At 33.4% G+C, this 14,042-nt stretch overlaps 1 protein-coding gene and 1 pseudogene across 1 annotated transcript in view, besides 1 other annotated feature; one reads left to right on the top strand and one right to left on the bottom strand.

The window, feature by feature from the left end:
• The window catches only part of TRIQK (triple QxxK/R motif containing), a 134,132-nt gene that overhangs the window by 31,766 nt on the left and 88,324 nt on the right, over window positions 1–14,042 (top strand). The window lies entirely within an intron of this gene.
• IRF5P1 (interferon regulatory factor 5 pseudogene 1) lies at window positions 11,159–13,304 on the bottom strand (annotated as a pseudogene).
• Window positions 11,533–11,801: a silencer, noted in NCBI's record as "fragment chr8:93986327-93986595 (GRCh37/hg19 assembly coordinates)". NCBI's record gives its function as "represses an EF-1alpha promoter that drives an FKBP-Casp9 reporter gene in an ReSE screen in HepG2 liver carcinoma cells {active_cell/tissue: HepG2}" and the evidence as "EXISTENCE:reporter gene assay evidence [ECO:0000049][PMID:32094911]".

Here is a 14,042-nt window from a genome sequence, read left to right as displayed (position 1 = left end):
TCTGGCAGTGTGTGACAATATTGGATTCTTACTAATTTTGGTAAACTGAAAAGTCAAGCTTCCTGGCCTGTAAATATGAAAGGATAGGATCCATCTATCATATCTGATCTTATTGACAAGAGCCTGGGCACAAAATGTGTAATACAGTTTTTTAACAACAATTACATCGGCAACAAAAACTCATTTTACAAACATTTTATTACTAAAAAGCATGCTTCAGTCAAGTTTACCAGAGGTTTTATGACAACCTGGCCTGGTGAAACCTTGAAGGATTTAAGACATGTCAGCTATGTACAAACAATAAGTATATGGGATTGTTTGACTTTGGCTTCCAATAGCAGATGGCAACTGAAAATACAGTGAAGCTAAATCTCCTCTGATGTCTCTACACTAAGCTATCCCCCAATTTTTTGTACCAGGAATAGATATGTTCATTAATTTCACCTACACCATAGTATATGATGGTAGCTACTAGGAAATCAAAAAGTAGAAGAAGAAACAGTGGGTGGAATCCAGGAGCTAGGAGGAATGGAATTCATGAGGAAAGGAGAAGTTTCCATAGCCACTGACTAAATAATGAGCAATAATTTTACAGACATTCCCTCTCTTCTTCTTCTCTCTCTGTGTTTTGTGCATGTGCATGTGCATGCGTGCGCGTGCACACACACACACACACACAGATAATCTCACATATAAGCCAAAACAACTATGTGTTCAAGAAATGGTCTTTAACTTTGAAGCACAATATGGTCATTCAAAATCAATCACAGTGTCATTTGACTTTGAAACAAAGAAAACAAATGAAACAAACGTATAATAGTATCAGATTTCAGTCTAGGAAAATAATTAGGACAATAAGTTTATTAGCTTTAGAAACATCAAAGGCTAAGATAAATTTTTCATTAAAATTGCAAGAATAAGGAATTTATTCTTAAATTTATCTCAGAAGTAACAAGAGCTGCATTATACACAACAGTTGAGTATTCTTTTTTGTGGTTTCCAGATATTATGGAATATGAAAACACACAAAATGTCTATACAGTCAAGATAACCTGTGGAAAAATAATGAAGACAGTGGAGGAAAGGCAAAATGGTAAAGAAGAGAAGAGAGAGAAACAAAATAATCATTTTCCAGCCTACCTAAAATAATAACCTGGACTTTCATAAAACTGGCATATCTTCTGTTTTACATGGAAAATTATTTTATCTTAAGTTTCCATTTAGTTGATTAAAAATAGGGTTATGAATGTTAAATAAGTGATGATTTATTGCAAAGGAAATATGTTTCGAAAGGTCGAATAATGTCTGTAACAATAAAAGGCAAACTAAATGATTTTCTGTTTTCAATCCTTTGATGAATAGTTAGATTAAGTAAGACCTATATTATGCTTTCTTTTTTATTCTCATATCTAAATAATGCTTATGACCAACTGAACTCACACTTTTCAGATCCCTGTCCAACTTGACCTCTAGAAACACTTTTTTCCCCCTTGACATAATCTGAATCTTTGCCTTTCAAATCCTTGGCTCGTGTAATGGTAGGATCTGGTTCACTGTGATGACTTCATACTGTTTTTATATCATAACCTATTTGGACTCTGTCAGTATAAGAAAGTGTTAAATAAACATAGATTCCAGCTGTATAACACATGTGAAATTCAAATATATGCCTGACATTTAAGCAGCATTATTTGCACAGGGATGCTAATAGACTTGATGAAGACAGGGCAGAGTGGTAATGGAATGCCAAGTCAGTATTATAGTATATTTTCAACCATCTTTCATTAGCAAAAATAATGCCTCTCACTTCCTAATTTATAAATACATTTTCATGTATTATCTCAATTTAGCATTCCATTTCTGTGATTTAGACAAATAGATATTTTTCACGTAACCGAAACTTGGAGAGGTCGGAGTGACTTGACCAAATTTACAGAATTAGGCATAGGAATACAGCACTGAACTAAAACCTGTTGAGCTGAACTGATTAGCAAATCCCAAACCATTCTCATGTTTATTTTTCAGTTTAAGCAATAATTGTATGTTTATTTTGAAGACCATAAGAAAAGAGTGTGAAAAAACTTAAGTGAGGAAATTGAAAAGTTCAGTGGACTCTCGCCCCTTATCCTGGCACCTGATCAAACCACATCTGTGGCAGAAATGACACTATGTGTTTACCAATTTCTTTCCACCTTAAACACACAGATTACATCTGCAAGCCTCCCCTCTCCCAGTAAGTGAGAACATGTGACTGAGTTCTGGCAAATACAATATGAGAAATTCAGAAATTATACATACTTTTTGTTTGTATGGTCCCTAAAAATACACCCATGTGATTCTTTATTCTTACTTTCTTTTACTTCTTGCTTGCCAGATGTAATAAATTAACCTGCGATCTTCAAGACACTAGGAATAATGAAACCTCTAGGTTAAGGAAGACTGACTCCATGAATTACTGCATGGCACAGAGGCTTCACTGCCTACTTGCATTCTACTGAGGAGTCAGCAGGAAATAAATCTTTACTATGTTAAGCCACTGAAATTTGACTGTTGTTTTTTTATAGCAGTTAATCTAGTTTGTGTATAAGAACAGTCACAAAATCTTTTGTTTTGACTTGAATTGAGATTTTTCTCTCCTTTGTCTGCCTCTGCCTTGTGTCTTCTGTGACATTATTTCTATTTCAGCAGTCTGACAAAACTAGTAGTGTCCCAGAGCATGGGTAGCAACCCTGCTGTCTCCTTAGTCCAGCACTTCTAGAGTAAATAAAAATAATTTAGAATCAGTTTTAATTTTTTAAAATATACAATTTCTACCATGGCTTCATTGTATTTGTAACTTTAAAAACATTATCTTATTTGATTTTTACAGCAGCCATATGAACTGGATATTGTTATCCTAATTTCATAAATGAGAACATTAAGGCACAGAGACATTAAATAATCTACCCAATGTGTCACTTATAGATTGAATAGACCCAGCATTCAAATTCAGTTCAGCAAGGACCCGACACTCTTCAAAATGGATTGCAGTGGGTTCCAGCTTTCTTTAAGCACCACCCTCCCTTACCTAGGAGGAGGAAGAAGTCTTAGTATCAGATTACAACTTCATCCTACTTCTGGAGTTATAATGTGACCCTTTTTGGAATGCATAAAAGCAGAAGATGGTTGCATATAAAAAGAATATAATGTCTCCCATTGATATTTGCAGCATCTGATTCTATGGGAACACTTAAAAGACCAACGTATTCTTAATCTATTCAACCATTTAACAATAGCAAAATATTTTCTGATTTTTGCATGACATCTGGCCAATGTTCCAGGACAAGAAAATTGGAAAGCAGTCAGTCATAACCTCTCCTTCATCCTGGACATTCCCTACCACTAAACAAGATAGAGTTAATTCAGTAAATGTCAGGTTACTGAAGAAATGTTGTCTTGTTTTGTACACATGCATTTTGTTGACTGACAAAATACTTTATTGAGTTTTCAGAGTACAGTTATATTTTAATATTCCATAAGAAACACGTAATACATAAATCTTTATTTCTATTGAAATTCAAGGAATATACACTACTAAAATTAATGATAGGCCAGCTATCTAGTTTTCTCTTCTTTAACTGAATCTCCAAACTATATATTCCATAGAAAAATATCCAGGTGATGTAGTACTGAAAATTATGCAACTGCTAATTTACCAGATTTCAAATAAAAAACTGTCAAAAAGATGTCCAATTTACAAAATTAATAATTCTTTTTCAATAATTATTGATAATTTTAAATATTTATTTTTCTAAGGAAAAACAGAAAACCTTATTTAAACTTATTTTTAGATATCTCGAAAATAAGGCTTTATTGAATTGTTCATAATATATAATAAAAGTTATTATTTTCATATAAAAAAGTAATACCCTTGAGATGTCATAGTAAGCTGTAAGTCTAAAAATGCTACAGTGGCACACTAGGTAAATGCTCCACCCTCTCTTTCTATTTCAATTTCCTGGAGTTGATAGTTAAAATATTTTTAAAATATACATGATTACACTCAAAAATGAGAAAGATATCTCTTTTTAGTATGGCAACTATGAGAAAATTTAGAAGACTCAAATCAGACTGCATTCGTTGGCAATAGAAAAGCTTATTCAAAACAAAATGACACAGAAATATTGGAGTAATAAAAAAATGAAAACAAATAAGCCAGTAAATTGTTAAAAAGTATAGCAATGTTAATATTAGACCATTTAGAATTTACAGTAAACAGCCTTAAAGGGACAGAAATAGATATTTTATACTGACTTAATATAACATAGGAATTTTAACAGTATATTGCAGTAATGGTTCTTTATGTACCAATCAACATAGTTACAAAATACATAAGGTGAAACTAAAAAATATAAAAAAGGATAAATCCACAATCATAGTGAGAAAGTTTAAAACTTACTATTAGAAACTATTGATTTCATGAGTTTGAAATAGAAATACATAATAAATAATGATATAAACTATTTGTGTAACACAACGAGCTTGATCTAATAGATAGACATAGAATTTTTTAGAAGTTTATATTCAACAGAGGATTTAGCACAAAAGAGAGATCAAAAGAAATGAGAAACAAATGACCATGTACTAATAAACTACAAAGAGACCTCAAAAAAGCCACCGAAAACAGACCTCACGAACAGGCTTTATTCACTGAACGTATTGCACGAAAACAAGAAATTAATCACAAAAAATAGCTCTGCTTTAAGTTCCCTTCAAACCTATAAAACTATCAAGTAAAGAAGATGCTTCTAAATAATAATTTATTAAGAAGAAAAGATACATTAATTATAAGCTATTTTCAAAGGATATTTATCAAAATGTATACTCCATGCTCATAATAGAACTCAGAGAAAAATTTATGCACCTAGAGGCATTATTATAAAATAATAAAGATAAAATTAAATTAAAGCATAGAACTTAGAAAAACCAGAAATAAATTAATAAAAATGAAATATATATTAATAAAATGAAAATGAAATGGCAAAAATATTTCTAAAGTTATTTAACAGAAATCAAAAGCTAGCTTTTTAGATATATTAATAATCAAAAAACTGGAAAATATGATTATGAAAAAAACTAAAGGAGAAACACATTATGAATCCCAAAATTGACAGTGGAACTGAGTAACATTTAAAATATAAGAGAATGAGTAATTATATGCCATTAATTTTAAAACCTACATAAAACCTACATAAAATGTATATACTTCTAGGAAAGTATGCATTTCTAAGTCTGTTCATGTGATAGTAGAATAACTGAATTTAACATTTAACCCTAGAAGAAACTGAAGCAGCACCAGGTCCAGATACTTTTTACCCAGATAGTGAGTTCTGCCAACTCTTTACAAAATAAACAATTTCCCATCTTGTACAAAGATTTTCGTAACAAAGAAAATGAGATGAAGCTACCTAACTCATTTTATGAAGCTAGTGTATTCAACAGGTACCAAAATGAACACACACGCGCGTGAGTGCAGACACACACACACACACACCCCCATATGCCAATTATAAAATAAATGCAAAAACATAAAGTATTAACAAGTCAAATTTGAGTAGCATATTTTAAAAAGGAATAATCAAATAGCATTTCTCTAGATAAAGTAAATTCCCATATTAGAATACCTATTAATATATATTAACAATGAAACATTATTTGTTCATTTCAATGAGTAGTGACAAACATTTACTGGAAATAAATACTCATTAGTAATAAAGACATTTAGTAAAAGAAGTCCAAAATAGAGTGTTCTTAACTTAATAAAGTACCAGAAATTTAAGTGAACATCAGATCTAATGGTGAGACATTATAAATCTTTCTAATTTGAGTTGATATTGAGATGAAGACACCCTCTATTGTTGCTATTCTTCAACATTATGCTAGAAGTCCAACTAATGAAATAATGAAAATAAAATGATATATACAGTTAAAGGGAAGAAGCAACTCTATCTTTCATATATAATTTCAAGACAGTCTATCATTATTGCTACATGACTTCAAATTTTATGACAATCTGCAAACAAACTTTTAAAACAACTAAGAAATTAAAGTAAGTTGAATGGGAAAATACAAGATGAATATGCAAGCTTTTTCACAAATGAGGGACCATTAGCAACCAATTAGAAAATATAGTAAAATGTAGTAGTTGCCATTAAGAAAACTATAAAACTATAATATTTGAGTAATAAACAGAAAGGAATACATGACCTGAATGTAGAAAAATGTGAAACTTTAATAAGATATTAAAAAAAGTAAGTTCAAGAATAAGGACAATTGTTATTACAAAAAACCATTTAAAAGTTAATGGCAAGGTCTTTGCAATACCCATCCATATACCACTAAGATTTTTTGTGGAACCTGAAAAATTGATTCTAAAATATATATGAAAGTTGAGAGTTCCATATCTGGTGATATGCTTAGGCTTAAATGTTCAGATTGACCTCTGGCATTCTGGAATTCTTCACAGTGAAAACAACTAAAAACATTGGATATATATGAAAAAATTTGAAAGGATATTGCAAACTGCATCTTCCAGAGAGTGACAACAGTGTCTTTCATCCTACAGATCTTCTATAACGTGATCTGACATTGCTGTGAGAATTCCAATACACTCTGAGAGGTTATACACAGGTCCTCCTGTCAACAGTTCCACCTAAACACAGCTAAGCTTTCATCTTATCATAACCCAGGTAGCAGACAATTATGCAGAAAAGCTTAAAGATGATTCCAACTGCCAGCCATTTGAGTCATTCCCCAGCATTTAGGGTGTCCCAGCTGAGACCCCAGATATTATGGAACAAACACTTTCTGCTGAATCCTGTCCAAATTCTTGACCCACAGATTTTTGACATGAGAAAATCATTGTTGTTTTATACCACTGATTCATGGTGGTGTGTTATGCAATAAGTGTTCATTGGATCAGCTGTATTTCCACTAGTAGCAGGAATAGTAAAATTGCTTATGTCCTGAGGGTGTATGTCACAGCTGAAAACTTCAGTGATTTTCGCAGCCTTCAGTGCTTTTCACAACCAGAGCTCACTCAAGTTGGAAAATATAGTAAGAATCTCTCAAACATTGAGTTGGAAACCTTAATATAAGGAGTAAGCAAAAATGCAAAAATAAATATGTTCATTCCTGTCACCAAAGGACTGTGGTTGCCCTGACTCTGAGCAGAGAAAGGAAAAACAAATCCCTGAGAAGTTGTACCCATAAGTGAGTTTTCAAATGTTTGCAGTTCAAAACTTGAGGTCCATACACTTCAATTAAGTTTAAAGTGGACTTTATTCTTACTGCTGTCACATGCTTATAGTGGCAGTACAAATCCTCTGGTTACAAATGAAACATCCTCCTAGACCCCCCAAATTACGATAAATAATTTTTGAATACAAATTGAGCGGCTCAAAACTTCTGCTCCCAGCCATGATGAACTAACAGAAATTGGATTTAAACTTCAGCTGAAATCACTGAAAATTTGGACAACATCTATTAAACAATGGTTTTCAGGCACTGGGCATCAAGTATCATGGGACAAAAATCCCAAAGAGGGAGTAAACAAATGCATAAGGGCTATGAATGCCTGTGATTAGAGCCAAAGTTTCCAGGCCACAGCACATGGAGAGGAGACCCAGGTAGAGCCTGGTGGTGTGCCTGAGTTAAGAAGATGTAGTTGGGAGTCTGGCAAAGTCAAAGCAGCTACAATTCACAGGGAAAGGTGTCAGACAGGAGACAACTACAGAGTAAGAGCTCTGGATAGATACAATGCATTCCTCTTGAAAATTCAACTGAGTACTGATTGATGAATGAATATGAGGAAATAATCTGCATTTGAGAAATGAATCACCTGGAAAAAGCAGAGAGAAAAATCCATAAGACCAACACATGGTCAGAAATAGTTTGTATTTATTCCAGCAAAAATGGAAATACAACATAGTTCCAAGAGCAATGGCTATAACTAGGTCAATAGTAAGACAAAATTCAGAGACTAAATGCTTCTCTGTTTCTGCCTAACAAAACTTAAATCTCAAAAGGATTACACTGTTTCTACATGACAATTGTACTTCAAAAGAAAGCTCAAGAATATTTGTATGAACACACAAAAATATCCAGAACCCAACAAGGTAAAATTAAAAATGTCTAGCATTCAATAAAAAAATGCCCAGGTGTGAAAACAAATAAGAAAATATGCTCCACATAATGAAAACAAATTTCAATCAATAGTAATAGAGTAAGAAGTAATTTAGATAATATAGTTAGTAGAAAAGGATGATAAGCAGTTATAACTATCTTCCCAATGATCAGGAGGGTAGAGAAAAGGATAAGTATGTTAAGGAAAGATACAGATGGTATTAAAAAGTACCAATTTAAACTTCCAAATATAGGGAAAAATGTCTGATTAAAAATGTACTAGATGGAATTAATATTGGAAAATATGAGCGAACTTGAATATATAGCTATGAAGCAAAAAAATCGATTTGAAATTATATACAGAGAGAAAAAAAGAGAAAAGTATGAACATACCAAGTAGCCTAATGCATATGTATTTGAAGTCCCTTTAAAGTAGTGAACGTCATTAAAGTACTGAAATGAAAACTGTTGACTTAGAATTATATACCCAGCAAAAATATCATTCAAAAATAAATGAAACATAAAGACTTATTTAGACATACAAAAGGTGAAAGACTTCATCACCAGAAAGCACACTTCATACAAAATGCTCAAGAAAGTCTTTTAAGTAAAGAGAAAATAATACCAGATGGCAACATGGATCCACACAAAGGAACAAAGAGCACTGGAAATGGTAAATATGTGGGTAAATATACATTTTTTCACATTTTAAAAATCTCTTTAAAAGAATATTGAATTGTTACAGCAAAAATAATCACATGTATTGTTGGGTTTAATATATATAGAGAGATAAAATACATGACAATAGCACAAAGACTGTAGAAATGGAAATATACTGCATCAAGCTTCTTTAACTATATGTGAAATAATATAATATTTCTTAAAGGTAGATGGTGGTAAGTTAAACAGCTATATTATAAGCCACAAAAAAACCATTAAAAAGTTACAGCTATGAAGTCAGCAAAGGAAATTAAATAGAATCATAAAAGTATTCTATAATTCCAAAATAGAAAGCAAAAGAAAAGAGAACAAAGAAGGGATTGAACGTATAGAAAATAAACAGCAAGATGGTGCATTTAAACCCAATTATATCAGCAATCACAGTAACATAAATGGTCTAACACCTCAATTACAAGGCAGATGTAGTCAAATTAGATTTTAAAAAACAAGACTCAACTACATGTTGTCTACAAAAAAGAGAACACTTGAAAATATAAAGACACAAATTGGTTAAAAGACTGGAAAATAAAACCATGTTAACACTGACCAAAAGAAAGCTGACATGATTATATTAATATCACACAAAGTAGATTTCAGAGCAAAGAACATTACCAGGGATGAAAAATGTCATTTCATAATGATGAAGGAGTCAGTTAATCTTAGAGGATATAACATATGCACATAATGACAAAGCTTTAAAATACATGAAAACTGATAAAACTTCAAGAAGAAATGCACAAATTCATAATTATAGTAGGAGAGTTAAACACCTTTCTCAAGTAATTATTAAAACAAGTAGACATAATCAGTAGAGATATACAAAATCTGAACAACTCTATTAACCAACTAGACATAACTGAAATTTATAGAATGCTATTGAAGTAAAGCAGAATGTGCATTCTTTTCAAGTGTACATGGGATATTTACCAAGAAAACCTATATAATAAAATAAGTTTCTATACATCTTAAGTAATGAAAATCATAGAAAGTATATTCTCTAACCGCAACAGAATTAAATAGTAAATTACTAACAGGAAATTATCTGGATAATCTCCAAATATTTGGAAAGTAAATAACATATTCTAAGTAACCCATTAGTCATATCAGAAATCAAAATGAAATGAGAAGTTTTTTTAAATAAATGAAAATTTAAAAATGTTCAAATTCATGGGATGAAGCTTAAGTATGGATTGGAGGGGAATTTATATTATTTATCTCCTATATTAGAAAAGACAGAAAATACTCTAATCAATGGCTTCAATCTCTATCTAAAGTAACTAAAACAAGAAGAGCAAATTAAATCCAAAGTTAGCAGAAAAATGAAATAAAGATAAAAATGGAAATCAATAAAATAAGAATCTGAAAAGCAATAGAAAAAAATAAAAATAAAAGCTGCTTCTTTAAGAAAGGTAATAAAATTAAAGCTCTAGCCAAGGAGATCAGAAAAATAAGACAAACTGCCACTACCAGAAATATGAGAAGTGAGGTCACCACAATTCTACAGAAATAAAAATGAATATAAGCAATATTATGAACAAGTTTATCTCAATAAATTTGCCAGTGTATATAATGTGTTCAAATTCTTTGCAGTATACAAACTACTAATGGTCACTAAAGAAGTAGAGAGTTTGAATAGTCCCACATCTACTTTAAAAATTGTATTTGTATTAAAAATTCTCCCACAAAAAGTCTAGGCTTTGGTGGCTTCCTCGGAGATTTCTACACAAAAATTAAGAAAGTAACACTGGCAATGCACACAAATTCTTCTAGACAATGAAGAAAAGTGAATACTTTCAAACTTTTTCTATGAGACCAGCATATCTCTGGGACCAAAATCAAACCCTGGCTCCTCCAGCCTGTGGAAACTGGGGAGGCCATGAGAGCAGGCCCCCTGGGGGCAATACACCTTAAGCAACCAGGTATCCTTGATTGTGGGAGTTCCTTGGAACATGAGCAGAAGGTGAGCATCCCTGAGAGCCAGGCCTGCCAGAAATAGGACAGTAGAGGTAGATTCAGAGGAGAATGGAACCCTGAAACCAAAGCTGTCTTTCAGCTCTCTCCTCAGCTTCTGTGGAAAAAAATAGCTAGTTATTTCTGTCTTCTTTCTTCTTTTGATTAAAATCCAATTCTTGGTCCCAGGCAAGGCCCTGCAGAAGACATAAGGCTAAAACTGGTAAGGTGCCCATGGGTTCCATGGAACCTCCACATCCATTTACAAAGCCCTCTAGGAAGACTGGGCTAGTTGCTTTCTTCAGCTTCAGTATTATGGGTCAAGTGGGTGAATGAGTCAGGGCCACTGGCCAGCATCAAGGTTGGGCTCAGGAAAGCCTGGATTACAGTCTGCAATTGATGAGATTGCTGGATGTGATGGAGCTCCTTCAACTTTTCTACCTTATGGTTCAGTCTTTGAGATGTATGTCTAGATACTATCAGTCAATTAAGAACCCCTCCTGAGAAGAACTTCAGCAACAACCAAGCTTCAGTCTCCATACACCATCTATAGAATAATGAATTTCTTGTTTCAGGACTTATAGTCAAGATACCCTTCCCTAAAAAAGGAGGTCACAAATCGTGGTTGTGTGTTGGTTTGGCCCTTTTGGAATGAGATGAGCTCATTGAAAAAGATTCAGACTGAAGAGCTTGGACTTCATTTTCTGTTGGATTGGTTTGAGGTGGGAGCTGTTGGATAAGGTACAAGGCTCACTCCGGAAGACTTTGTGCTGTCGTAGTTGGATGATATACAAGTTCTGGCCCTGCAGCTGGAAGCTGAGCCCATAGTCCAGGATGTCCAGCAGCTAGTAGATGTAGAAGTGCTGTTTGTTACTGGGTATGTCCTTGCTGTCAGGGAAGTGCACCTGTTTCAGGCTTTCCTGGCCAAAGAGCTCCACTTCTCTGATGTGGCCTCCAGCTAACTGTTGACAAGGTGACAACCATGTAGGTTGCTGCTGTTGATGGCACAGGGATACCAGCCTGAAATGTAACTTGACCTTCAAGCACTTGATGTGGAGCTATTGAGCAGATCAGGCAGAAGAAATGGGTTGTCTGCACAGGGCAGGTTTGCAGCCAGCAGCAGGATATGGAGGAAGCAGTTACCCAAAGCTAGTGATTTCACAACGTAAATATACCAAAGTGGTGCAGTTTCAGATAAGGGGTCCCAGACTCACATACAGTGGTGATCATTTAAACTCCTCCTTCTGTAAAGAACAGAGTACTATAGGGGACGAGAATGTACTAGACCGGAATGTACTGTGCGGCTCAAATTTGGTAGCATCCTCCCGAGCTATTCCTTCTCCTTCTCCCACTTTGCACCAAAAATGTTATCCTTACTAATGTTTTCCTTACTCCCACTTTGCACCAAAAATTTTATCCTTACTAATCTTGACTCTGCAGAAGCTGGATCACCAAAGTCAACCTTTGTATATCTTTTAATAGTGAAATGATATCAGTGCAAGCTAAATAATTTGTTTAGCCCAGGACAAAATGAAAGTGTGTGGCCCGTTGTTTAAAAAAATTTAAAAAAAAGTAAAATGTGCCATCAAAGGCATAAGACAGAAAACGTTTTATTGCTTTCTTCCAAAGTCTCTCTGAAGTTATCGTGGTGTTTTATACTTGCTATTTAACGCTGCTCTAAGTAGAGAAATTAAAATTTTTCATCATAAGTGTGATTGCTACTGTTCACCTTCATTTTGTGCAATTGCAGTTCTAAACAAAAATATAAGAACATTTACTGATATCCAGAATCACTGAAATTACATAGTTCATATTTCATAGCTCATATATGCATATGTATATTGTTGTTACTGAACCAGTAGAAACTGCAAAAAATACCAACTCAAAATTGTTCTTATTTCATTTCTTGATATGCACACATTCTACCAATACTCAATGGAAACAAAACAAATGACTTTGATAACAGGCTTACCTCACATTTGCTTTGAGTCTCGCCGAACTCTCACCTATGATGGGTCCATCAGAATTCTGTGCTCACGAGGCACCATGAACTCTATGTGCAAGTGAGATCACAAGAAATAGTAGAGAACTTACTGTGAATATCTCTTCTGCTCATGCACACGCTTCATTATCCCATTAGACTGAACTTACAAAAAATAAGTTCAAAGATAAAATTATTAAAAATTTCAGGACAGCAATAGTAGATCATTAAACAAACAGGGGAACCTTCTGACCATGGGTGTTGTGGGCCTGTACAGTTCTCATACCGTGAAGCTGGCCCTGAGTGACAGGTCTTGAAACACAGTAAAGATCAGCTGGAAGTTGTGGCTTTTGTTAAGGGCTCAGCACTGCTTAGCCTTCTACTTAGTGGGATTGGCCTTATCCACTCTTCTACTTCACTTTCCTGTGTTCTTGGCCCGGGTGTGAAAGATAGTGTTGTTACCCTCCTGGATGGGGACATGCCAAATGGCATAATGCCAAAGCAAGTAGAAAGTTGGAGCTAGGCAGAAAACTGGGGGGTGGTGTGAAGGAGGAGCACAGGGCACTACTCTTAGAACATAATATTAAATGAATGCAACATTGATGATTCTCAGCATAACAATATAGATTGTTACCTCTAGAATAACCACAAATAAAATAACAAAAAGAATATAGCTAAAGAACCATTAGAAGCACAAACTGGAAGTCTAAACATTTTTGACTAAAGCAAATAAAAAAAGGAAAGTATAAATGGAGGAGAAAGGTAAAAATGAAAAATAAAAAATACAAAGAAAAATGATAGACTTATACCCTTCATATTAATAACTATGTTACATGGAAATTGAATAAATATTTTTATAACAAATCAAAGATTGTCAGACTGGAAAAAATGCAAATTCAACAATATATTGTATACAAGAGATAGAGCTATAAAGGCATAGATAGCTTAAATGTAAAGGCAAGGAAATGGATCTAGTAGAAACAACAGGCATAATACATCTAATCTAAGATTATTAATATCAGGCAAATATTCTTCACCACCAAGTATAACCAGAGATAAAAAGGTCAACATTGCATAATGATAAAAGTGTTGATTCATCAGGAAATCATAATAATTCTAGATGTGTATGAGCCTAGTAACAGACCTTCAAAATATATAATGAAAGAATTAACACAACTAAAGAAAATATAGTTTGAAGTTGGATACCGTGATGCCTCTAGCTCTGTTC

This window comes from Homo sapiens, chromosome 8 (genome assembly GCF_000001405.40).
Source record: "Homo sapiens chromosome 8, GRCh38.p14 Primary Assembly".
NCBI classification, from domain to species: Eukaryota; Metazoa; Chordata; class Mammalia; order Primates; family Hominidae; genus Homo; species Homo sapiens.
Note: the sequence above shows the minus strand (reverse complement) of the source record. Positions and strands in the feature narration are given on the sequence as shown.